The 23,453-nt window shown below is 55.4% G+C and overlaps 3 protein-coding genes across 8 annotated transcripts in view, besides 22 other annotated features; 1 reads left to right on the forward strand and 2 right to left on the reverse strand.

The window, feature by feature from the left end:
* TGM1 (transglutaminase 1) lies at positions 467-14,530 on the reverse strand. The gene is made up of 15 exons (NM_000359.3): positions 14,442-14,530; positions 13,387-13,707; positions 13,048-13,236; positions 11,803-12,051; positions 11,293-11,411; positions 11,057-11,164; positions 10,428-10,602; positions 9,888-10,026; positions 9,638-9,741; positions 7,342-7,430; positions 6,717-6,870; positions 6,325-6,606; positions 6,017-6,177; positions 5,505-5,641; positions 467-894 (listed from the first exon to the last, which is right to left on the reverse strand). The coding sequence occupies exons 2-15, from the start codon at positions 13,703-13,705 to the stop codon at positions 666-668; spliced, it is 2,454 nt and encodes an 817-aa protein (NP_000350.1). The 5' UTR covers positions 13,706-13,707; positions 14,442-14,530; the 3' UTR covers positions 467-665.
* Positions 1,073-1,222: an enhancer, noted in NCBI's record as "active region_8203". NCBI's record gives its function as "activates an Ori minimal core promoter by ATAC-STARR-seq in GM12878 lymphoblastoid cells {active_cell/tissue: GM12878}" and the evidence as "EXISTENCE:reporter gene assay evidence [ECO:0000049][PMID:35858748]".
* Positions 9,807-10,504: an enhancer, noted in NCBI's record as "H3K4me1 hESC enhancer chr14:24727660-24728357 (GRCh37/hg19 assembly coordinates)". NCBI's record gives its function as "activates a minimal SCP1, AML or CMV promoter by ChIP-STARR-seq in primed H9 embryonic stem cells {active_cell/tissue: H9 hESC(primed)}" and the evidence as "EXISTENCE:reporter gene assay evidence [ECO:0000049][PMID:30033119]".
* Positions 13,705-15,458: a promoter, noted in NCBI's record as "K3 region from +831 to -923 relative to transcription start site asserted in PMID:10321835". NCBI's record gives its function as "responds to negative regulation by retinoic acid and calcium" and the evidence as "EXISTENCE:reporter gene assay evidence [ECO:0000049][PMID:10321835]".
* Positions 13,705-16,705: a promoter, noted in NCBI's record as "3 kb fragment from +831 to -2170 relative to transcription start site asserted in PMID:10321835". NCBI's record gives the evidence for it as "EXISTENCE:reporter gene assay evidence [ECO:0000049][PMID:10321835]".
* Positions 13,705-17,035: a biological region, named in NCBI's record as "TGM1 promoter region". NCBI's record gives its function as "regulatory_interactions: TGM1".
* Positions 13,713-13,908: a promoter, noted in NCBI's record as "p194 fragment from +628 to +822 relative to transcription start site asserted in PMID:10321835; P2 promoter". NCBI's record gives its function as "responds to positive regulation by retinoic acid in HaCaT cells" and the evidence as "EXISTENCE:reporter gene assay evidence [ECO:0000049][PMID:10321835]".
* Positions 14,469-16,135: a promoter, noted in NCBI's record as "1.6 kb fragment from +67 to -1600 relative to transcription start site asserted in PMID:10321835". NCBI's record gives its function as "drives expression in epithelia" and the evidence as "EXISTENCE:transgenic organism evidence [ECO:0001131][PMID:15061870]".
* Positions 14,518-17,035: a promoter, noted in NCBI's record as "2.5 kb fragment from +18 to -2500 relative to transcription start site asserted in PMID:10321835". NCBI's record gives its function as "responds to phorbol ester and drives expression in epithelia" and the evidence as "EXISTENCE:reporter gene assay evidence [ECO:0000049][PMID:9361026]" and "EXISTENCE:transgenic organism evidence [ECO:0001131][PMID:8537408, PMID:9361026]".
* Positions 14,607-14,632: a protein binding site. NCBI's record gives the evidence for it as "EXISTENCE:protein binding evidence [ECO:0000024][PMID:10886517]".
* Positions 14,989-15,006: a protein binding site, noted in NCBI's record as "CRE". NCBI's record gives the evidence for it as "EXISTENCE:protein binding evidence [ECO:0000024][PMID:10974538]".
* Positions 14,989-15,006: a protein binding site, noted in NCBI's record as "CRE". NCBI's record gives the evidence for it as "EXISTENCE:protein binding evidence [ECO:0000024][PMID:10974538]".
* Positions 14,996-15,019: a protein binding site. NCBI's record gives the evidence for it as "EXISTENCE:protein binding evidence [ECO:0000024][PMID:12192491]".
* Positions 15,005-15,013: an enhancer, noted in NCBI's record as "site II". NCBI's record gives its function as "promotes gene expression on basal promoter" and the evidence as "EXISTENCE:reporter gene assay evidence [ECO:0000049][PMID:8537408]".
* Positions 15,904-15,929: a protein binding site, noted in NCBI's record as "TG-G". NCBI's record gives its function as "promotes gene expression" and the evidence as "EXISTENCE:protein binding evidence [ECO:0000024][PMID:15061870]".
* Positions 16,016-16,044: a protein binding site, noted in NCBI's record as "TG-A". NCBI's record gives the evidence for it as "EXISTENCE:protein binding evidence [ECO:0000024][PMID:15061870]".
* Positions 16,036-16,056: a protein binding site, noted in NCBI's record as "AP1". NCBI's record gives the evidence for it as "EXISTENCE:protein binding evidence [ECO:0000024][PMID:10974538]".
* Positions 16,036-16,056: a protein binding site, noted in NCBI's record as "AP1". NCBI's record gives the evidence for it as "EXISTENCE:protein binding evidence [ECO:0000024][PMID:10974538]".
* Positions 16,036-16,056: a protein binding site, noted in NCBI's record as "AP1". NCBI's record gives the evidence for it as "EXISTENCE:protein binding evidence [ECO:0000024][PMID:10974538]".
* RABGGTA (Rab geranylgeranyltransferase subunit alpha) lies at positions 16,891-22,980 on the reverse strand. 2 transcript variants are annotated; one of them, NM_182836.3, is made up of 17 exons: positions 22,840-22,950; positions 22,466-22,522; positions 22,190-22,300; positions 21,687-21,811; positions 21,306-21,493; positions 20,844-21,047; positions 20,433-20,516; positions 20,264-20,346; positions 20,078-20,179; positions 19,867-19,972; positions 19,722-19,773; positions 19,463-19,551; positions 19,223-19,311; positions 19,013-19,129; positions 18,129-18,242; positions 17,783-17,870; positions 16,891-17,116 (listed from the first exon to the last, which is right to left on the reverse strand). In NM_182836.3, exons 2-17 carry the CDS (start codon positions 22,466-22,468, stop codon positions 16,968-16,970), a joined length of 1,704 nt encoding a protein of 567 aa, NP_878256.1. In that variant the 5' UTR covers positions 22,469-22,522; positions 22,840-22,950; the 3' UTR covers positions 16,891-16,967. The 2 variants fall into 2 exon arrangements, with proteins under 2 accessions (NP_878256.1, NP_004572.3); NM_004581.5 differs by having other exon boundaries at positions 22,466-22,980.
* Positions 22,268-22,477: an enhancer, noted in NCBI's record as "active region_8204". NCBI's record gives its function as "activates an Ori minimal core promoter by ATAC-STARR-seq in GM12878 lymphoblastoid cells {active_cell/tissue: GM12878}" and the evidence as "EXISTENCE:reporter gene assay evidence [ECO:0000049][PMID:35858748]".
* Positions 22,556-23,453, forward strand: part of NOP9 (NOP9 nucleolar protein) — a 37,922-nt gene continuing 37,024 nt past the window's right edge. For all 5 annotated transcript variants that reach the window (XM_047431054.1, XM_047431053.1, XM_047431052.1 and 2 more), the window contains exon 1: positions 22,556-22,663. The gene's annotated coding sequence lies outside the window, so the exon portion shown is untranslated. The remainder of the gene's footprint in view (positions 22,664-23,453) is intronic.
* Positions 22,668-22,957: a silencer, noted in NCBI's record as "silent region_5633". NCBI's record gives its function as "represses an Ori minimal core promoter by ATAC-STARR-seq in GM12878 lymphoblastoid cells {active_cell/tissue: GM12878}" and the evidence as "EXISTENCE:reporter gene assay evidence [ECO:0000049][PMID:35858748]".
* Positions 23,028-23,127: a silencer, noted in NCBI's record as "silent region_5634". NCBI's record gives its function as "represses an Ori minimal core promoter by ATAC-STARR-seq in GM12878 lymphoblastoid cells {active_cell/tissue: GM12878}" and the evidence as "EXISTENCE:reporter gene assay evidence [ECO:0000049][PMID:35858748]".
* Positions 23,218-23,297: an enhancer, noted in NCBI's record as "active region_8205". NCBI's record gives its function as "activates an Ori minimal core promoter by ATAC-STARR-seq in GM12878 lymphoblastoid cells {active_cell/tissue: GM12878}" and the evidence as "EXISTENCE:reporter gene assay evidence [ECO:0000049][PMID:35858748]".

Below are 23,453 nucleotides of genomic sequence, written 5' to 3' on the forward strand. Positions count from 1 at the left end.
CAGCTGAGAAGAAAAATGAAAGGGCATCGTTCTTGATCTTCAGTGTGCACAGGAGTCAAACTCTTGGTGAGTTTGTTCTGGGCCTCTTCCACGGGGATTCTGACACATGAAGTCTATGGTAGGGCCCATCTATCTGGATTATTAATAAACATTTCAGTGATTGTAATAGAAGTGGTCTAGAGACTACACTTGAAAAACCCTGAGGTAAGGGAACAGTTTCATTCAAACCAAAGCCAAAATCCTCCAAAACTCACCCACAGGAAAATTTCCAGGTAGAAGAGAGTTATACAAAGAGTATCGACTCTGTCTCTCTGAGCCTCAACTTCCCTTGTGGTTCCCTCTCTCTGGTGAGGGACACCAGCCCCTATCAGTGGATGATACAGGAAGGCCATGTGCAGCCCTGGGACAAACCATGGCTCCATCCGTCTTGGTGTGGCATGGACTGAAAGATGGACAGAGCAGCAGCTTCATTAAAAAACAGTTTATTAGCATCTGTTCCCCCAGTGCAAGTGAAGACTGACTCCCTCTCCGGGAGCCCTGGACTCCCCCTCCGGGAGCCCTGGACTCCCCACCTGAGCTCCTGGGGAGCTGCTCTGTAGTGTGCCCCTATCTTGGGGCAATGTCCTTGCTCATCTGACTCCAGTCCCATTGCTCCTGGCACGGGGCTAAGCTCCACCTCGAGATGCCATAGGGATGGTCTCTCCTAAGTGACTGTCACCTCCAGCGTCTGAGAAGAAGCCCCCATCCCCAGGGGCTGGGGCCACATCCACCTGGATGACACCGTGCACCTGGGAGAGCTGTGGGCTGTCCAAGCTGGCAATGAGCTGGCGGGGGCCTGGTCGCACAGGCACAAACGACTGGCGCAGTGTCACTGTTTCATTGCCTCCAATGTCCCTGTGGGCAGAGACAAGGTCATGGGCCTGGAGTAATTGGGGGTGGAGTGGGGAGTAAGAGCTGATCCAGGGCAGTCAGGAGGAAGAAGCAGGAGGTGGACCCATTCAGACAATTCCAGGCTTACCTGAAATTTCCACACCCAAGACCAGGATCCCCAGGGCGCCTCTGCATAGCCAGCTCAGCAGCCACCCACCAGCTGCCTGTGCTGGAACTCTCCCCATCGTCTGGGACTCCTCCCTCCCTGCTCCCACATCCACCTGGACAAAGACTGCTGATGCCACCGCAGAGGCCTCTCATGCCATCCCCTCCATCACCACTGCTCCTGCCCCAGACAGAACATCCTCATCTCACCTGGGGTTTCCAAAACCAAGAAAACTTCAAAATGAGACTTTGGGGGCCCAACACAATATTTTCAAATACTTTCAGTTTTGACAAGAGCATAGGTTGAAGAAAAGTAATCACTCTCTGCTATGATCGTCGTTCCAAAGAGAAAAGAGCATTTTCACACACCAAAACATTAGAAGGATGTTATCTTTGAAAAAAAAGGAAAATCCTTCCCAAGAACAGACAACAGACATCTTTAAATGGACATAAACCCTTATGTCTCTGTGTGTGTGTGTGTGTGTGTGTGTGTGTGTGAGAGAGACAGAGAGGTGGGTGGACAAACACACACACACACACACAACCAGTGTTTTCATTTTCTCCTTTCCACATGGGCCTCTGAAAAATTGATTCCCAGACCTCCCCTGGGAATCATGATTTCACTAGTCCTCTAACGGGACTCCTTGCCTCGCATCCCACTTTTGTATTCTGTTCTGCTAACCACTCAGAGGTGAACTAAATCCTTCAAGGATTTAGTGCTCCTTTGGTGCTTGTGGCACACGATCCTGGCTCTCTAACTTGACACACAGGCTCACTCTGACCCAGTCCCTGCTACTTGCACAGCCTCATCACCCCCCATCATTCCTCCTGCTGAGCAGCCCTACCGAATGCCTTCTTCCCCAGACTCACCTCCACAGTCATGCTTTGCAGTCTTTGCCTTGTGTGGAATGAGCACCCAGCTCTGCCTCCCCACCCTGGGTGTCCTTGTGAAGGCCTACTTTTCCTCCAAGGCCTGGCACACCACTTCCTCAGTGACGGCTCCCCTGAGCACCTCCTGCCTCTAGGAAAAGGAAACTCACCCTTCTCTGAGCTCCTCCAGCAATCTGCACGTTTCATTTTATACACTGAACATGACTGCATTTATATTGCATTTGCTCGTGCCTGTGGGAATTTGTCCTTCCTGCCTTTGCCTAAACCTTACCTCTGGTGCCCTATTCAACCCAAGCCTGCCGCTGGGGACCCTTTCCAGACATAGAACCTGTGCATTAACTATTGTCCTCTAAGAGAATGAGCCAACATCCCTAACTCCAAGGATGAGTTTTTTTCAGGGCAAAGCATTTGGCTTGGAACCTGGTTCTGAGGGGTTTCCCTGGACCACTCTACTCCCTTTTCTACCACTTGTTAGCTGTGAGGCTTATGAGAAGCTATTTAACTTCTCTGTTCCTCACTTTCTGGGTCATAAAATGGAAGTGAAAGTAAAAGGAGGAGTGGGATCTGATTATCTTGAAGGTGTTTCTGAGCTCTCTGAAGGAGGGAGGCAGGGATATATAATAGAACGTAGTATGATAGGAAGTCTATAAATTAAGTCTATAACTTAATGGCTAGGCTATGTCCTGACTGCTTACAAATTTGCACTCTTAATTTTTGCTAACTTTTCATAGATACAAGATTCAAGGTTGTTCAAGCTCAGACCAGCCCTCAGAAGTCTATTTACTCTATACCATAATTGAACTATAATATTTCAGAAAGTAACCTTTACATTGCAGTAACGGATTATTTTCAAGAGAAACTGTTTTCTAGGTGGAAATGTCAAGATCTCTCCCTCCCCTGGTCTCATTGTGAGGTGGGGGACTTTACCACACCTCTTTTGTGAGCTGAAGCTGAGTACAAGCCATCTGCTAAAGCTGGGATGTTCCTGGAACTGAGTGTGGGTCATGAAACCAACTCCCCAACAAGGACACCAGAACTTAGACGTCGAAACGAGCATTGTCCAATTGTGTACTTGTTCAATCGTATTGCCTGGGCTTGAAACATGTTTAAAACTCCTCCTGGACTCTTCTTCAGAGCCATTTAAACCATACACACAGGCGTGTGCTCAGTGATGCCACGGTCAGCCTGTCCTTCCTTCCACAGCATGCCTCGGTTCTGATGGAAAAGGGCAGTTACCCACTTGTTCACTTATCTTATTAATTAGTCTTAGCTCTTGATGACTTCAGGTTTCTCTGCAAAGTCAAATCTACCCCTAAGAAGGCAGACTGACCACTCTGAGGACATTCTAGAGAATATGATTCAGACTCTGAGGGAAATTCCCAGGAAGGGTTTGGAACAGACTTCCAGCCTCTCTGGTGACTGCTTTTGGTGGTGACAACAGCCATCTGGAGGAGTGAGTTCTGGAATGTTTATTAAGTGGCCAGTCACCACAGGGGGGTGGCACACCTTATGCTATAATGGGGTTCCATGCCACAGCCTCTGATGTGCGAATGAGAGGCAAAGTACACCCATCTTGGAATCTTAGGTACCTGAACCAACAGCTCAGAGATGTCCCCCTGGAGGCTCCCAATTGTACTGGAGGCTCTGGTCTGGGCTCACAGCAGCTAAGGAGCCACAGACTGTCCAGGGAGGATCTGCCTTAAGAAACCATCATCCAACCCTGTCTTTTACTGTAGGGAGACTCACATAAACCCTACAGCTAAAGACAGGAAACAGGTCCCCCAACACTCAGCACAGTGGCCCTTTCCTTACTTCCAGGCAGGGCCAAGAGGCAAAGGCCTGGTGGGGCTGCTGAGGCAAGTCCAGCTCTGCGGATCCCTTAGGACGAGGAACCTCCCCCCACCATGGTGGGGGTGTGGGTAAGAGATGCCTGCTGGGCAAGACTAGCAGAGCAGGCTACCCGGGGGGTTCAGGCTCTGTTCACTGAGCTGCCAGAGACCATGGTATGGTGACATGAGGAAAGCCCTACTTTGTGACACATCATAGCATTCCCAGGGGCCCAGGCTGGGGCAAAGATCAACATAGCTTCCTTCTCAGCTTTGGCCTAATGGCGAAGGTGGCAGCCACCACCAGGAGAGCTGCTGTGTGTGAGGGAGGGGTGGGCAAGTGGGCAGGGGGTCCTCTGCTTCCTCCCCTCAGTTTCCCCACCCCAAGCCATTGTTCTTTCTCAGGAACTCGCTGTCTGAAGATGAAGCCTGCCCCTGTCCCAGAAGGCTGATCTAGAAGGCCAGGCTCTGGCCTGCTCTGCTTTCCCTCCGTGCTTTTCCTAGGCGGGGACGGGGCAGCACGTGTAAGTCTGTATCAAAGATGACAGCCGCAGGCCCAGGAACACAGCATGTGTGTGCCCTCACTACACCCAGGGGCTTGCCCAGCCCAGGATCAGGCCCAGACGGGCTGGGTAAGGGCCTGAGGGATGGAGTTCTCTCCTCTGGAACTGCTACTTGGCCCTCATGGCACAAAACAAACAATGAGTTTGAGAGCCTGTGCATGGTATGCACCACAGTGGGAAGAGCAGAGTTTGCCCCCTACGAGCTGTGAGACCATATGAGATGTGACCGCCAGCTTCCCCATCTGTAAGTGGGGGTAATAATGGCAATAATAAAAATAACAACTACCAATGGAGCACTAACTTTGTGCCAAGCAGTGCACTAAACAACCCTAGGTCCAGGGGCTATTGCTATCCCTGCTTTACAGGTGAGAACACTGAGGCTTGAAGGAGAGAAGTCGCTTGCCCAAGGGCATATAGCCAGTAAGTGCTAGAGCTGAACCCGTATCATTAGGATTCCAAAACTTCGCTTGTGTGTGTGTGTCTCTGTGTGTGTGTGTGTGTCTGTGTGTGTGTGTGACAGAGAGAGAGAGAGACACACGGGGTCTCACTCTGTCGCCCAGGCTGGAGTGCAGTGGCACAAACATGGCTCACTTCAGCCTCAACCTCTCCAGGCTCAGGTGATCCTCCCACCTTAGACTCCCAAGTAGCTGGGACAACAGGCGCACAGCACCAAACCTGGTTAATTTTTTAAAAATTTTTTGTAGAAACAGGGTTTCATCATGTTGCCCAGGCTGGTCTCCAACTCCTGGGCTCAAGTGATCCACTCACCTTGGCCTGCCAAAGTGCTGGGATTACAGGTGTGAGCCACCACACCTGGCCTTCTAATGTACTTAAATTAGAGTTTTTGTGTCCAAAGGAGATAATATTCCTGAAAGGGCCTGGTCAATTCTTCAGTGCTGGGCAAATATTAGCAATGAGTTACTAATGATTCCTATGTGGGCCTTCTGCTCCCTAATTAGATAGTGAGGCAGGGCAAGGACATGGCATAGCACCAGGTGCCCAAGAGGTCTCCCTAAAGGCTGGTGGGACTGAGCTGGGCCGGGAGGTATTGCTAGCTGGCCCCAACCTGCTTGGTTGGGTCCTGACAGAACATACTTGTCCAGACAGAGAGGGAGCAAAGCTGGGAGCCAGGGCAGCCTGTGGGGAAGGCCAGAGTGGAAGCAGGGGTAGGGGGAGAGGCCAGACTCACCCAACGTTGAGGATCTTGGGCCTCTGTAACCCAGAGCCTTCGAGCCGGAAGACGACATTGGTGAGGGTGACGGGAAGGGGGTTCTTGAAGACAATCTGTACTTCACACTCCTGGCCAACCACTGCTGCTCCCAGTAACTGAGAGAAAAAGAGGCCCATCCCCCACGTCAGAGACCCTGGCCAAACACACGGGGACCGTACACTGCACCAGAGAGGGGAAGCTGCTTAGAAGCAAAACCTCCCCGAGTCCCACATTTATCCTCCTGAGAGAAGATTCCCCAGAAGTCAGAGAAGAAACTCCAACCTATTCCTCAATAAAGGCTGTCACAGAACCAGAGACATAAGATCCCATGCTACAGATGAGGAAACTGAGGCCCCAGAGCCGGTCCTTGACCTTCTCCTACAAAGGCTCATCAGGCCAGCCTGCTGCTGGCTTAGCGCCCACCTCTGATGTCCTTATCCCCTGGCCTTCACTCTCTGACCACCCCTCATGCCCCAGCAAACTGCATTCACCGTGAGGGAGAGGTCTGGGGTGCGCAGACGGAAGGTGTGCTGCTTGGCCAGCACCTGCCCGCTCTCCTTGACGTGGCCTGAGACATTGAGCAGCATGGCCCCCTGGTCCACAAGATGGGGCCGGTATTCCTTGTAGGCCACTGGCATGGTCACACGGTCCGCTGTGGAGAAGAGGCATGGCGTCACTGAGGCCTGCTTCCCTACATGAGGCTTCCCCCAGGGACTCCCCACTGCTCCTGGGGTCTCCATGTCCACAGCCCTGAGGTGCCCAGCCATCCAGGGGGCAGGGCTGGGTAAGGAGCACTTACAGGCCCCTGGTGCCAGCTCCACTTCCTTCTTGGTCTCCTTGAAGATGGTACCACTGACACCAGTATAGAAAGTGACTGAGAGGTAGAGGTGCAGTTTCACTGTGCGGCGGCTGCTGCTGTGATTGATCAGCATCACAGAGACCATCAGATCCTGCCCCATCACCGCGTCCTGTGCCTCCACCTGCATGGCCACATCCTCCGCTGAGCCCCGGTTGGCATACACATTGGGTTTGCTGCCGTGGGCTGCTGCTGTCTCTACTGCCTTCCGCTCTGCGTCTGAGCCTGGGGGTTGAGGGTCAAGGGTGAGGTTCCAATTCCCACGTGGGTGGCCAAGCACTTGGCAGGAACACTTGTTGTGGGGCCCAGAGCTGGCTGGGTTGGGGGAATGGTACCTTCTGGGTGCTTATAGAGGTAGGTGATGTCCTCCCGCATGTTGGAGCTGATGGCCTTTGTGACAATGAGTGTGCCGATGGCCTTCTCCTCCACATAAACAATCTTGAAGCTGCCATCATCCTGCCGCTGCCAGTACACCTTGTCACTATTCACCTGTGGGGGGTGGGGGTGAGCAGGAATGAGTGAGCCAGAGGGTCTGAGGGTGGCCTGACTCCCGGCCTCCTTCCCCTGATCCCAGGAGCTATGGGACAGGGCTTGGTCCCAAGGGTGGGAGCTTCCTGGCAGAGCCCAAGGGGAGACTTTCCAAGACGAGCCAGACGAGGCCAGAGTGCAGGGAAGAAGCTGGTCTGGGAGGCTCCTGGCAGAGCACTTTGGCAATATCAGTAATCCCTCACACTCAATGGCTGACTTTACGACTAGTGAAGCAGTTTCATACCCGTTATCTCTTCTGATCCCGAGTATAGGAAGCAAGGCAGCCTTGATTATCCCCTTTTACAGGTGAGGAAACTGACTTGTATAATGAGTGACTTGCCCCGGGTCGCAGAGCTGGTCAGTCAGCGGTGAAGTTGGGACCAGAGAACCCATGACTGAAGCCCAAGAAGGCACCTGGAGCCCAGCCCTCACCTCAGCAAAAATGAAAGGCGTGTCGTACTTCATGTAGACCAGGCCATTCTTGATGGACTCCACAGAGCAGGGGCCGCAGCAGAAGATGCCTAGAGAGTGAGGCGGGACAGAGGCAAGAGATCTGAGAAGGCGGAGAGGGCTCTTCAGACCCTGGGTAAGGTCCACACAGGGCCCCAGCCCCACCCACTCAGGCCCGGTCCCACTGCCTGGTGGCCTCTGGAACAAGGTCATCAGCCCTGACCCAAACACTTGGGGGTCAGTTGACAGCCAGTGCAACACAGGTATGGAAAACAAAGAGAGAGCGGCTCCATTTGGCTCTCAATCTGCTTTCCTCAGCCCAGGCTGCTCTGCTGGAGGATGGGGGCAGGGTACAGATGTGCGGACCAGCCTGCCTGATAACCAAGTCCCTGACATACTCTTTCATGGCTGGCTGACACTGGATGTCCACCATCTGTGACCCCCAGAGGACAGGACGCCCCATCCTTTATCATAACCAACCCAGAGTCCACAGTGGCCCTGCCTGCTGGCTGGGAGAGCGAGGACACCACCGCCACCACCATTCCAGAGAGATGCGGAACAACCCTCAGCTCTGCAGCCTGCTGCCCTTTCTACTGGGGGGAGCTGGTGGGAAATAGAGTCTGCCCTTATCATACTCAGGAGGCTGTCTAGAAGAGATAGGCTGACAGGAAGAGGCCTGGCAAGAGAGGACAGAGTGGTAAGTGAGTACCATCCAACCGGAAAGAATCTTAGACAAGACATAACACTACACACTCCTTTACAGACGGGGAAACAGCAAGGTGAAGTTCATGCCAGGATCTCACAAGACAGGTGGTGCAGGGAGAATGAAAGGAGCTCAGACTTTTTGAGTAGCTGCTACACTCCCGGCATGCTGCTGGTCCCTTCAGATACAGAATTTCTCATTTAATCCTCCCAATCACCATATATGGTATCTATTACCCCAAATTACATCCAAACCACCAAAGCCTAAAAGTTCGAGGTGCTTGCCCAAGAGCATACATCTGAGAAGTGATCAGGCTGGGATCAAGCCCCAGTCTGGCTGGCCCTGAGCCCCCTGCCTGATGTCCACCCCACCACTTCCCAGAGTTGGGGGCCAGAGCTCAGATCTGCCAGCGTCTGGGACAGGCTGTTTCAGCATCACAGGCATCACCGGGTTGCACAGCTCATGGGGCTGTGTTCACATATCTGAGTGAGAGGGAGGGCACTGGGAAGAGGCCAGGGGAGGAATGTAGGCTAGGGAGGACTCTCTGACCTGGGGTAAGGGAGAGGCTGGACAGAAGGTAGCTGGCAGGGCAGGCCTGGTGGCCTGGGGCTGGGGTATCACGGTAAGAAGGGGTGGGGGTTTGTTTGAGAACAGAGTGTATGGTAGTTCTAATTTCTGCAGAAACACATGTATGTGGACACAGAAAAGAGACCCGTTGGTTATATTAACAGTAATTATATATTAAGGCAGGGTCATAAGGGCTATTTTCTTCTTTGAACCTATCTGAGCCCTGATTTTTTTCTATGCTGTATATATAACTCACAGTGAGCAATGGAACAGACAGGAAGGAACTCGTTGAAAGCAAGAGTATGTGCTTAAAAGGACTGGACTTGCTCTGTCACTGACCTACCACTCTGTGCCCCAGAGGAGGTCACTCCATCTCTCTGGCCACCCTTTGGAGTGGGTCAAAAAATCCGGCTGATCGTCAGAATCACCAGAAGAACTTTCAAAAATATACATTGTTAGCATCTATCCTGGGAAAGTCTAATGTATCAGGTTTGGAGTAGAACCTAGAAATTTACTTTAAAAATATTTTTGAAAAAAAACCCAAATACCTCCTGAGAGAGAATAGGGAAGCTTTACATTTTGTGTTGTTCAATTCTATACTTTTTTTTTCCTTCCAAGCATGTATTACTTATAAAAATGACTTTAAAATGGTCCTTCAGTTAATTATCTCCAGGATATGTAAGTTAAAAAGCAAGTAAGAATAGTGAATATGAATTCTTTCTCTGAATACTCTTCCAGCTTTTGAATTTTGAACCTCCCTTGTATATTAACCATTATAAATAAAATAAACCATTATAAATAAGTAAAATGTAGGCAAATAGAGAGTTATATAGAATGGTAAAAATAAACTAACATCCACGTGGTGGTTCAGCTGACAAACCCGTTTAAGAAGCCGCGGGGTTACATGGCTTGGCTCTCCGGCCCGGCCCAGCACTGACACTCTGGACTGTGTTAATCAGGTGGGGGAGATAAGCAGGGGCATGGTGGGGAGTGGGGGGCCCAGCTTACCACTGCTAGTCTCTTGGGGTGTGGCATCCACCACCTGCCACCCATCAAAGCCCGAGGGCAGATCCGGCCTCTTCATCCAGCAGTCGTTCCACACATGGAAGTTCCTGGATGGACATGGAGGAGGGGCTGGGTCTGAGCCCCAGGGTCAGGAGTCCTCAGTTTCCCCAGCCTCCCCAGCCCTGCCCACCCTCCACCTCCAAAGCTCAGGTCACCATTCTTCAGCACAGATGGGCAGTCCACCCCAGCTCACCAGACAGAATCATGGTTCAGGTGCTCCAGGGGCTTCATGTTCTCGTCGAAGTAGATGTCCATGGTAAGGGATGTGTCTGTGTCGTGGGCGGAGTTGAAGTTGGTGACAGTACGGGTGGCCAGACCCAGGCAGCGCAGCACTGTGGAGGAGCGAAGGTTGGGGTTCAAGGCATGGGTTGGGGGCAAGTGAGGCATCGTGTCAGGAGTATCAGGGGGAGAAGGGCAACTAGGATTGCCAAGCTGGGCATAGACTGCCAGGGTCAGGGCCACGGGGGCCACAAGGCCTTTGGGCTACAGAGCACTTGGGGTCAGGGGAAGCTAGGCCACCTGCCTGGCTCAGTCCTTGCCTGTCCCTTCTCCCTCCTTTCCCTTAGGCCTCTCTCTGTTGTTAACACTAATTAATGATAATTAAGGCCAGCCTATTACCCACCCCCGCCTGCACCCTGCACTGTAGCCACATCTGGGCAGGGCTGGGTAAGCCTGGCTTTCCTCCCTTCTCCCTGTAGGGCCCGGGCCACTCCTGTCCCAGTCCCTCCACTACCTGTGGTGGTCACGCCAGCAAAGACCCAGCACTGGCCATAGGGGACGGAATATCCCGTGCGTAGGTAGCTAAGCAGGATCTCCACGCTGCCCACCCACGCTGATGGGTTGGTGCCTCGGGAGTAATCACCAGACCAGTTCCCAATCAGGACTCCATTGTCATCCAGGGAGTTCACCTGCCCAGGACAGGATGAGATAGGGCGGAGGTGGAGGAGGGGCTCAGGACCTGCCATGTGGTCCATGGGGACCAGCCGGGCCCCGATCCTGCAACCACCCCTTACCCCTAAATGCCTCAGGATCCAGACACCAGCCTGAGCTCCACCCAGCCCTTCCCTCAGCCATCTGCCCCCCTCCCACCCGGGCTCTGACACAGGAATGTGAATCCTGGGTGTGCCAAGTTTTGGGTTTGGCCCTACATTCCACAGGAGCTGGGACAGGAGCCAGGAAAGGCGGGGTGGGGGGCAGGCAAGGGAGAGAAGAGGAGGGAGACCCCTTCCTGAAGTATCCTTTACGAGGGCAGGGACAGGGCTGGGGGTTCTTGAGGAATCCAGAAAGGGCAGGAGGAGGGTGGGGGTGTGGCGAGGCAGCAGGCACACACACAGTAGGACTCAGAGATGTGAGGGTGCTCACCATGGCAGAGATGACCCGGGAGACATTGACTGGGTCTCCACGGCCTCCATATGGCATCCCCCGCCGGTCCAGGATGTATAAGCAGGCATCCAGCACCCCGTGGTCAAACTGGAAGGAGGGATGGAGGGCAGAGGTGACAGCCTGAACCCTAGGCCAGCACCCTGCTCCAATACCCCAGCCCCCACACCCACCCCAGCTCCTCTGGGTGTATGTGACCCTGGCCAGCCGCACCATACCTGGCCGTAGTTCCAGGTCCGCTCACCAATCTGTGCTTCGGTCCCGTAGTAAATTCTCCCAGACTCATTAAGAACATACTCCTGCCGCCAATCCTCATGGTCCACGTACACAATGTCCTCTGTGTCCCCAGAACACACAAAACTGGTTCCCTCCAGTTCTCTCCCTGGGCCTCACCTACTTCTGGCCAGTTCTGCAGGACTCATGTCCACAGAAGAAAATGCGGGGATGCCCCTAGCCTGACAGGACTGCTGTGGGAGGACACGGGGAGCATGACAGATGGTGGAGGAGATTGGCTGTAGCCAGGGGCCTTTGCCAGGAGAGGTGTGGCTGGCTGTGTGACCCTGGGCTGGCCACCTTTCTGCACCAGGCCTCGGTCCTCTCATCTGCCCAATGGGAGGCTGGCTTCTCCTGGGGTCAGGCACCTAGGCACCCCGCCACATCCGAGGGCAGGAAGCCCTTCCCTGTCTTTCCCTCCCATCTACCCTCTGCTCCAGACCCCAGCTGCTCACCTGGGCACCAGGGGTTGAAGAGGATGTAGATCTCATTGCGGGGGTCAAAGGGCAACTGGAACTCCCCAGCGTCTGATTGTGTGCGGACTGTGAACTGAAACTTGCCGATGATGGCGTTGGGGGAAGTGTGGACCCGCAGGTTCAGATTCTGCCCACTGGCCTTGACCACCTGGGCTTTCCAGCCTCCACTGCCCCCCTTGCCCACTGGGATGATCACGTGCGTGCCCTTGCCCACCTCGGGGTTGTTTCCTAGAGTAGGAAATCAGCAATTAGCTGGCAAGGCCTCCCTGAGGAGAGGGGATGGAGCCTGGGACTTCTCCCGGCCCCACCCACAATGTGTATGAGCCACTGTGTATGTCCCTACGTTGGGCCATCACCTTATTCTCTGACAGTCTCCCTTAGAGCAGCTCTGTCTCCACCCAATGCTTGCCCACATGTTAGGGCAGTGCCGCAGTCCAACATCCCAAACCTGTTCCCCTGACACTGAACTCTGAGGTGGGGAGGAGAGACGAGGGCTCCTGTCACCTTCTGCCTGCCTGACTATCACAGTGCCTGGGCTGGAGGGGCAGATCCACCTGCCCCGTATGAAAGGGCAGTCCTGATCCTGAAGGCCAACCCTGCCTGCTTCCTGGGGCTGCAGCTTCCAGAGCCCAGGGCATCCCTGGTGGAGGTGGTAGGGGTTCCTGGGAAATTAAAGGATGAGGTGGGCAAGGTTAGGCCCTAATCAAAGGGTAAAAGGAGTCACCTGCCCCAGGCAGCAGCATAATCACCAGCCTGAGAAGTCAAGCTACACCAAGCAACGCGGTAAGGGAGGCACCTGCCTTGGGTCATGGGGACAGAGGGACAGAGACAGAGAGAGACAGAATTGGCAGAGATGGGGGACATGGAAGGCAAGAGGGAGAGAGAGAGATAGAAGAGAGAACCAGCCACATCCTGGGGAATGAGAACAGATGCACAAAGGACAGAGCAGCAATGCCGAAGGAGGCACCGAGGCAGGCCCTGAAGAGGAGTACTCTGAGACCGATGCCCCAGGAGGCTTGAGGAGGATGGGCTTGGGAAAAACTGCAACACCAAGACCCTCTCTGAGACACAACCCCAGGGGCACACCCACACACTTGCACCTGCCTTATCTGGCAGAGGTGAGGAGTGGGGCAGGGAGGAGCCTAAAGACCTCTCTGACCCTAATGCCAGCCTCTCCCCACCAAACATAGGGCCTTCACCCGTCCCAATCCAAGCCCCACTGACCGATGAGTAACTCAAGGGTGATGCGATCAGAGGATTCATAGGTCCGGGACAGGAGGAGGAGCATATGGAAAGGCTGCCCGCGGCGCACTATCAGCTCGTCGTACTCATACTCGTCTGTGTGGTGCTCTCGGCGGTTCTGGTCCGAGCGCGAGCTCAGCAAGTCCACACCGTTCACTACTAGCATGCCCTCTGCAAGGACACAGCTCCGTGTCAGTGAAGCCCCATGAGGAGCCCAGGCCCTTATCATTAGCTTCCTATCCCCCCCAGAAATGCCAGGCTGAGTCTCTGGTCCCATTAAAGCCTTTTAGCTCTCAGCTGAGGAGGACAGACCGGCCTCACCTCGGATGGTGCCATCTCCAGCTGCATTGACACCGCTGCCCCGGGATACAGGCCGGCGGGAGTCTGAGCCCCGGGAGCCAGGTCTTCGAGTGCCAGAGCTGGACCCTCGACCCCTGGAGTCAGAGGGTTCAGGTCCCCAGTCGTCATCTGCCGCATTTCGGCATGAACAGCAGCCACAGCAGCGAGCCCAGAAGGAACGGCCTCCTCCTCTGCGAGAGCGTCCGTCTGGCTCTGGCTCTGGCTCTGGAGATGGCGTGGTAGGGGGCTGCAAGGGGTTGCCACCCCAACGGCCCACATCGGAACGTGGCCCATCCATCATGCCTGTTAGGAAGAGGCAGGGTGGCTCCTTAACCCAGGTAGTCCCAGCCAGTTGACCCAGAAACCCTCCATCCAGACAGCTGATTCAGTCCCACCCGATGACCGAAACAATCCCACCTTGGCCCAGAGATTCTCCAGACACATCCAGAGACCTTCCGCGAAGACCATTCAGACTCACCCAGAGAAGCTTCTCATGCTGCAGAGAAAAGCCTTCCCCTCACCCCCACCAAACAACATCCGAAAAACTGCCCAATGAAGAAACCCACTCAACGATCCATCCCAGGAAATCCACATAGTTCCCTGCATGGACACTTGTCCCAGCCTCAAGACCCAGCTGCACACACATCAGAGTGCTCCAGCATCCCTGGGCCTGGTCCGTCCACCTGCTAGCTCTGCAGTCTAGAGGTGCACAACACTGACAGCTTCTAGAACTCATTTCTTAGCAGAAATCCCCCAACTCAAGGTTCCTCACAAGACAGACAAGTGACCCCGGGGCCTGTGGTCCTTGGCATTCCCAAGTCAGGGAAGACCCCACTTGGGGCTGCCAGGAGGGGTAGGGCATGGCAGGTGCCCGGAGCCTGTGCACAGGGAAAGCAGAGTCTTGGTGTTGGGAACAGCCTAGCTGGGGCTGACAGGTACACAGCTGGCCCACACCCCACCTTGCTGGATCCAGGCACGGCCTCTGATAGTGTGGGCCGCCTGGACTCGGCACCACAGTACCCGTGGGAGCCCCTCACCTGGCAGCAGTGTTGGCAACCGCAGTACTGAGTCCTGGGGCTGAGATGGAACAGGTCAGGATGGATGGGACAGGACCCACAGACTGGATGCCGCAGGGACAGACCTGGTAAGTGACTTATGTGGGAGGGAGGGGCCAAACTGCTGTAGGGGGCGGAGAGAAGAGGCCAGGCCTCTGGGCGGGAAATGGGGAGAAGATGCTAGGGAGGGAGCAGGGGTGAGGTCTGGGGGCTTAGGCTGGGCTTTGGTGGGAGCCACCGCTGTGATGGCCCCTGGCACCAGGCTGATTCCTACCAGACTGGGCATGTGAGGAGCCCCTTCTCCCGGATGAAGAAGCTGCAAGGGCAGTGGGGCAGGCAGGCCCTTCCACCCACAGCCCTGTCTGGCCGACCTTCTGGTCCCAAGCTTAGGCTGCCTACCTCTGCTCTCACAGGCTCCTGCTGCCGAGTTCTGTGCAGCCCAAGCCAGGCTCAGCCCTATGAAATTGGCCCAGGGGCCTGGTCCTGGAACTCATCCTGCCCAGGGAGGTCCTGGGATCCCAGGTTGCAGACTGGTGACATCAGCAGCCAGGCCCTCAGACTGGCTCCACCAGCTAACCCCTGACCTGCTGGCTCTACCAGATATTCTGACTCCCTCCACCCCCAAGTCTGTCCCTTCTTTCTCAGCTGCTCTACAGCCCCAGGCATGAGTGAGCTGCCCTCAAGTTTGGGATTAGGGAGATCAGAGTAGGAGCAATCTCATTTCACGTCCCCCACCCCCGCTGTAGCCTCGGGGGTTAGGGGATGTTTAGGCCTTTCCACTCAGGCTTGGGTGGGAACTGAGTCCCCCTTCCAGGGGTACAGAGTACCTTTCTCTCACTGAGAGGAGTCTCTGCTCAGTTGGACTAGAGGATTCCCTTTTCTCCAACCTGGAATTCTTCCTGGGAATCCAGACCAACCGGCTCAGGCACCTGTGCTGTGTGCATCCTTACTCCACCCCGTCACTGGGGAAACACTGAGGATGGCACCAAGGCGATCCCAAGGTAGAGAGGAGGAGGCTAGGCATCTTCAGGGAGGCTCTCCTTGGGTCTTGTCCTCAGGCCCGTCAGCCAGGGCCTTCTTCCTTCTTTCCTTCCTTCCCACTAGTGTCCCAGCTCTGCCCATGGGCCGCCTAGCAGAAGACAGTAAAAACAGGCCGACAAGAAGACACAAGGAAACAGAATCCAGGAGGGGCTGTTTGGTGATGCATCAGGCAGGGAGGTGCCGTGGGGAGTGGGGACAGAGAGGCCCCAGGAACTGGCAGGGAGCCCTCCACACCCACACTGCCTTTTCTTGTCCAGCTCCAAGCACCAGAACCTGCCCGGGGGTGGGGGCAGGTGCCCCACCTCCAACACCCTCAGTAGACACACCAGTGGATATAAACTTCCAGGCAGGTCAGCCAGAGGGCTTTGTGCAGGGGCTGCGGATTTGTGCATCACTGCAGATACGGGAAGGGGCAGGGCCCTGGCTGTCCGGACGTGTGTGAGCACATGTGGGCCCAGGCAGATCCCAGAGAACCAGTAGGATGCCTTTGTCACACTCTCTCCCTAGCTTTAATCAATCTTTCTCTCCCCACCCAGCCAGGTTTGAGTCAGTGCCCTAACCCCTGAGCCAGTCCCCTCCCCCCACCACCACTCAGGACTCTCTAGGTCAGGACAAGGTGTGTACATGGTATGTGTGGGGGGACACCATGGGAGCAGACACTCAGCTCAGGACCTCAAGGAGCTGAGGCCAGGCCGCTGCCCAACCATTCCTTAGCAATACAGAAGCAAGAACATGAGTCTAGAATCCTAGACCAAGGGTAGAGACAACTTTGGTTTCAGTGCTGAAGCGCTCCGGCCAAGAACCTTGGGCAAGTCTCAACAGCAGTTTCCTCATCAGTACACTGGGCCTAAAAATCTCATCCCTGAGACTCTGTGAGGATCAAATGGTATCAAGTATTCTCAAAGGTACTTCAACCGTAGAATGCTACTCATGGGGACCGATAGTGTTGTTCAGGCAGGACGGAGCAAGGACACCCTGGCCCATTCCTGGGAACGTGGAGCCCTTGAGCCTCCCCAGCTATGGTGAATGGGGGCCAGGGCAGGGGGAACATGTGGAAGGTGCAGGGGTCATGGGAAAAAATTGTATGATGCTTCCAGCTGGAGAAACTCACAGCTGCTCTGTAGCTTACCAGAGCCAGAACCTGAGCCCAAGCCCTATTCCTGCTTGGAATCTAGACCCAGTCCCAGCCCCCACCCCAAACCAGAAGGTAAACAAAAGCTCAGCCTTCACCCTGAATTCTGCCCCAAACACTGAAGCCTTGGCTCTCTCTGAGAGGAAACAATAGGATGGCGCAGAAAGAAGGAGCTGGCAACACCCCATGTCTCTTCCCTTTCTTTTCAAAAAATAAAAGTGATGAAGGTGGTGGTGTAGTGATAGCAGCGACAACAGCTTGGTAGCCTGAGAGGGCCTCTCCATTCTTTATTCAGTCCCAATAAGTTAAAGGGCAAGGGTAGGGGGCAGGGCCTCTTAGGTGAGGACGCTGCTAACTGAAGGCAGCAGTTCAGCCAGTTGCTCCAAGATGCCCACCGCTTGGCACAGCGGGTTACCCTGCAGGTTGAGGAGGACCAGCCTGGGGCAGGAGGCAAGAGGCTGGAGCACTGCAGGCTGCTGGAGGCCTTGTTCAGGAGAGTCAAGGAAAGCTTGGCAGGTTCCTCCCAATTTATTTGCTCCTGTGTACCCTCAAGAGCTGGGGACTGCTGCCTGGAAGTCTGTTTGATGGGCATCTCATATGCTCCCTGGAGGGAGTCAGGCTCTAGGCAGGGACTGCAAATGCCTACCCACAGGGTCAGCCAGGAAAGAATGAGCCGCAACACCCCACGCAAGCTGGTGTAGTATCAGGGGAGTGGTGCAGGGTATGATAAGGTGGAAATCTAGCCTGGTCCAAAGAGACATTTACTATTCAGCAATGACCAAGGGCTGCTGAGTGAAAATACCAGTGTAAGGTTGCTCTAACTTCCAATTTTTAAGAGAGGAATTAGAACTCTAGATGTTTTTTAAAGTATGAAAGTTCCTGATTTTCAAAAAACTACATAGACCTGAAGAACAGCTGCGGGCTGCCCATTTGTGAACTCTGACTTGAGGAAGTCCACTCCGCACAACTCCACCAGTGCAGGTCAGTGATAGCCCGACAGCCCCAGGCTCTCCCCCTTCAACTCACACTACAGAGCCCCCTCTCTCCTGCCCTGCAAGAGGGTGGCACATACCCTGCCTGCTGTCTGTCCCTTCCCAGGGTGGCACCTCACTTTACCCACTGTCTGAAAGGCACCCAGAAGGAAGGATACGGTTGTTGCACAGTAGCAGCTCCTGCAGCCGGGGTAGGTTGGTGACGCCGTCCAGGGACTCTATGGCATTATCACTGGCCTGCAGCACCTGGGGGCAGGGAGGGCAGGGAGGCAGGACAGGCGCTGTCAGCCAGGGATGGTTCAGCAACTGAGGAGCTCAGGGTGACGGGTCCACAGAGCACAGAGGGGCTCACAGGGTCAGGCTGCGTGATGGAGGTGGAAGGCACGCAGTTACCTGTTCGGGGTGGAGGGTCCTGCACATCTCCTTGTAGGATGGGCAGACTTCTGAGGGAGAGGAAGAGGAAAAGAACCACCCGTGACAGGGACGGAGACATGGGTACTTTACCTCAAGGCAGCGCAGGGCAGCCAGTGCAGGTGGCAGGGTTCGGAGGCGATTGTGTGACAAGTCAAGATGGGTGACCAAGAGCAGCTGTTCCAGATGGCAGAGCACTGTCAGATCCTGGGGGGTGAAGGGAGGAAGGAGGTGATGGGCTTCCCAGGAGACCTGGGAGAGGGTCCTCGGCCAGCATTTATTAGGCACATGCCCTCTGTGCCCCACAGGCCCTTGGGGACCCCAGCCAAGAAGAGGATGGGAGCATGTGGGAAGCTGACCTTACAGCCCACAGCAGTACATGACGTGGGACAGACAGTGCTGCGAGTGGGGTAACCAGTGGGGTGGGTGAGGAGGAGGAGGCCTGGAGTTCGGAGGTACAGGGGCCAGTGGAGGGTGCTGGGTAAACAAAGACTGGTCCCCCATGGGGACTGGTCCTGATGAGGCAGAGATGAGTTTGGCAGGAATGGAGGTGGGCTGTGGTGATGTGATAAAACTAATGTGTTGGGAAGGACTAGGAAAGTGGAGCCTGGACAACTTCTCAGGAATCTCTGGAAAGTATTTGGCCTTCAGGTATTGGAGGTTGCTCCAGGGTGAGATGTGCTGGAATGTGTGGGAGGAGTGGGCTAGCGGTCACTCTGAAGGAAGATGAAGCTGTGACCAGCCTGGGGAAGAAACAGCACAAGGAGGTCCTGGTGACTCGGGATTTGAAAGTGAGTGGCAAGAAGAAGAATGGGCTGAGTGACAGAAAGGCCTGGAAGAGGAGCAAGCTGGGAGGCAGGGATGAACTCTATCTTGATTGGAAGTCCACAAAGGCACCTGAGACTGGGGGCAAAGTCAGGGACGTGGGGAGGCCAGCGGGATGAGGGCCAGGGGAAGGCATGCATGGCAGCCCATACCTTGTGAGCCAGGTGCAGCACACGCACCTCGGCATACTCCATCTTGAGCACGCTATTCTCCAGCAAGAACTTGCTGCGCAGGTCATCCAGATACGTTGCCCGCATGGGGTCCACGGCCTGGAGTGGATGAGGTGGGCAGGGTATGCATGTCAGCTGCCTGCCTCCTGCCTGCTGGGCCTCCCCCTGGTCTGTTCTGCAGACAGAACTTGCCTTGAGGGTCTGGAAGTACTGCAGGGTCTCCTTCTCATACAGCAGGGGGTCCAGTGCCCGCATCAGCAGGATGATGGTAAGCAGGCACCCTGAGGAGAGGGCAGGGAAAAGGAGGGTTTCTCTTGGAACCTCCTCTGCTCCCATCCTCCTGAGGCCTTCCTGCTGTCCTCTCAGGGCCACACTGGAAAGGGGTTTCCTCAGCGGGCTCTGGGAGCAGACTCTCACGGAATGGGGCCTCACATTTATTCTCAGGCTCCAGCTCCTGCAGCTCCTTACAGGATTCCAGCTCAGACTGCAGCACTGTGGACTTCTCCACTGACAGCTCACACCTGAGGGTGGGCAGGGTGGGGAGGAGTTGAGGCCCACAGCCCTGAAGCACTGGTCAACATTCCCAGTATCTAGACTGAAACAGCTCCTTGAGGCCCCAGCCTCCTGCCCTGGCTGCCTGATGCCCAGAGTCCAGAGCCCCTCTCCTTGTTTTGTGCTTCCCTATCACCACCTGAATAGCTGCTCGTCTGTCGTGGAGTCCCGGCACCAGCCCTCCTGGCGGCCTGGGGAAAGAGTAGGTGGTTGGAGGGTGCACCCTTGAGAGGAAAAGAGTGATGGGGGCTGCTGCAAGGGGTGGAGGCTGCAGGTTCCATCACCTTTTAAAAGCACGCATTCTTTCTGGACATCGCCTGCTGTCCAAATGACGCGAAATGTATGTTGGGGCAACTGGTCGTTGAGGGAGGCAGCAGGCAGGTCACAGAGCTGGGAGTACTGGGTCAAGGAAATGCCCCAGCCTAACCACTTTTTTGACTGTCCCACCCAGCCCTGCCCCAGACCCCAACTTCTGCCCCACCAATCCTGGGATACCCAGACATGGCTGGGCCGGTTCCTGCCATCTGGGGTCCTCCACTCCACAATCAGGGGAGAATCATCAACCATGAGCAGCAAGATCTCCATCCTGGAGCCCACCTGGCACAAAGGACAAAGACTTCAGCCCCATCAGCACCAGGCCCACAGTCCCACAGTGCTCTTGACAAAAGCTGCAGGACTCACTAAGAGGGGCCGAGAGAAGGAGACAGTCAGACAGGCCTCGTCCCGGCTCACATGCAGGCAGCGCAGTGCATCCTGGGGGTCAGCTGCGGGGAGACAGTGTCAGATTTCTTTAAACCCTCTCCCATTCCTATTAAGCGCTAAACACCCAGCCCCTTTCCTCATTGCTCACCTCGGCCTAGGAGCCAACGGTGATAAAACCAGGCACTCTGGTCATTGGGGTCAGTGAAGAAGGCATTCTGCACCAGCTCCAGCTCTGTGGGGTTCCAGGAGGCATGGGGCTGTGGTCAGGACACTGGTGAGCTCCTGGCCACTCCAACACCCTACCCTCTCCTTGGAGTACTTCCAGCCCCCAGTCTCACTTATATGCTGTCCTTGCACAGGGGCTACGTATGTCAGTTTTATCTTCCCCATCAGACACTTAAGCTTCCTTCAGCCAGGGACTGATTCTTAAGCACCCCTGGAGCCACGCATGAAGTAGGTGCTCAATAAACCTGAGTGACAGGTTCAGGAACAGGGTCAGGCATGGGGGCTGGAAGGGTGGCACTGCAGAGTCCTCCTGAGCATCCCTGACCCTGGTTACCTTTGAGCAGCACATCCTCAGGGAGGCGCCCCTGTGGTCCAGAATCCGGCTGGGGGTGCAGCTGGGGCAAGAGACAGGAGCGGTAATGCCAGGAAGAGTAGTTGGAGAAGTTTCGGGTGATGAGGCTGTCAGTGAAGGCTAGCTCTTCTGCAGGGGGCACGGCTGCCTGTGTGGCCACAAACCGCCGATAGTCCCAGCAGTGAACTGGAGGGGAGAGGTGACAGCATATCTTAGAGGCAGGGCAAGAGGAGCTACCTGGCTGGGACCCCTAGAGTCCCCTCAGGAACCCCTAGAAACACCTCAGTGCACTCCACGGAGGATGCATTTGGCTCCAACATCCCTTTCAGCACCAGCTCAGTGGACCCATCCTGGATATCCCTCCCCATTCTGGGCCTTACTGAGGCCCCAGTACCAGAATGTGGGCAGGTGAGGGCTGTGGGGACAGAATCTGCAGCCACGTACAGTTCCGCTCATCCACCTCCAGGAAACGGGCACAGAGCTCCAGCTCTCGGGTCCAGTTGGGCTCAGGCAGGCGGCCTAGCAGCCAGCATCGGTGGTGCCAGGTACCATAAGACTTGGGGTTCACCCGCAGGCAGCTCTCCAGGAAGCCCAGTTCTGCCTTCACCAGAGCAGCCAACTCTTCAGGAGACCTGTACCCAGAAGGGAAGGGGGGGGTCAGGGCTCTCCTACAGTCAACCTCAGCTCACCCCTCACTTTCTGCACCCAGCCCCCTACTATCCTCCATCTATGCCACTGGCTGCCCCATTTCTCCTCCACCCCTAGACCCAGGCAGTGCAGGCGCAGGGCCAGGGCAGTCTTCTGAGATCCTGAATCCCTACGCACTTCTGAGTCTCCAGCTGCTGGAGCACCTCTCGTCGGCAGTTCCAGAGGGTGGCAAAATCAGGGTTGGCTCCCAGAATCTGGCTTGTCAGTTCCAGCACGGACTCATCCAGCTCACCAGCCTGGCGCTAAGAAGATAGGTGGCAGGGTTAGAGATCATATAATTTTCCCACTACAGGACTAAATAACGTAAACTTAAAACCATCCAATATTCTGTGAATCCCACATTATACAACAGGTACTATGAACCATGCTTTATGGCCTTACAGGTATTCTCTCATTTAATCTTCACAACAGCCTTATGCAGTAGGTGCAATTATTAGCCCCATTTTACAGATGAGCAAACTGAGGCCCAAAGAGATTCAGCAACTTGCCCAAAGTCATACAGTTATAAGTGAGATAACCCAGAATTGGATCTAGGCAGTCTGACTCTAGGGACCAGCTCTTGGCCTCTGCACTATACTAAGGGAGCTACTTGGGGTCGGGGCTACCTCTGAGGGCCCCACCTTCTGGAATACGGCCTGGGTGGCTGACTGGTATAGCTTCAGCTTCTGCTCTCGCTCTAGCCTTTTGGCCTCCGCCTGCTCTTCTGACGTCTTCACCTTCAGGCGTCCGTGCTACAAGGATGAACGGGTTGGAAGAGTGCAGGTTGCCTTGCAGAAGCTGACCTGCAAAAACCCCACACTGTGGAGCCCTAGGTTCATACGGGGCAACCATGGCACTGCCACTGGGGGTGAGGGCGCGGGCCTGCGGAGGTGAAGGGCTGGGCTCAGGGTTCTCACCATGGTGCCGGCTCAGGGTTCAAGACAGGGGAAGGGTCCAGTGGTAGCCCTTGAAGTCTGAGGAGAGAAGTGTCAATCACGTAGCCCCGCCCCTACTAGCTCCGCCCACAGCTGTGTCCGGAAGCAGCAAGCGTGCCTGGGCAGAGACCCCCAGAGTGTAAAGAGGTCCTGGGACAGGCTTTGCACGTTCCACAAGAGGTGAGCACCCGGACTAGGACTTCCATCCGTGTGGCCCTTCCTATAGCCCGATTCGCCCGGGCCAGAGCGCGAGCCGGGGCACCTGGGCGTTGGGGACCACTCTGCTCCCCAAAGGTTGCCGCTACCCGCCCGTCCCACGGCTCCCGGGCACCCCCGCCCCCCGCGGGCGGACCCACCTGCGCTGGGAGGAGGCGCGGGGGACGCGGAGCTGCGGCGCCCGCCACAGAGCCCAGGCGCTGGCTAGAGCGGCGCCACGTCCCGGCTCATCGAAACGCAGCGCACTCTGCAGGCTTGGGGAGGGACTTGCGGCGGAAGAGGCCGGCTCGGAGGCGCGTGCGCGGGGGCTCTGCGCTCGCTGTCCGGAAACGCCTCGTACCTGTTAGCCACCTGGTGTGTACGAGTGCGCACGGGCGACTGTAGCGTGCGTGTGAAATGGGGGGAGGACCATGCCAGTTGGTAACTCAGAGTGCAATGTAGTTAGTGGAAGAGGTTTCTCCAACAGCCGGAAACCCGCACCTTCACTACTCCACTGACCTCACCCTGGCCACACCGACAGCCTTCTAGATGTCAAATCTAACAGGGGGAGTTTCCTGTCATTTTCTCTAACCTCTGAAGCATTTGACGCTACCCATTTCTTTATACTTGACACCCCCATTCTGGCTTCTCCTCCTGCACCTCTGCCTCTCTCTTCTCATCTGTTCACCTCCACCCCTAAATGTTGGTGATCTCCAGGGCCCTTTCCTCACCCCTTTTTCACTTCACCCACTGTTCCTGGGAGAATGTTTAAATG

Source organism: Homo sapiens, chromosome 14 (genome assembly GCF_000001405.40).
Source record: "Homo sapiens chromosome 14, GRCh38.p14 Primary Assembly".
Lineage (NCBI taxonomy): Eukaryota > Metazoa > Chordata > Mammalia > Primates > Hominidae > Homo > Homo sapiens.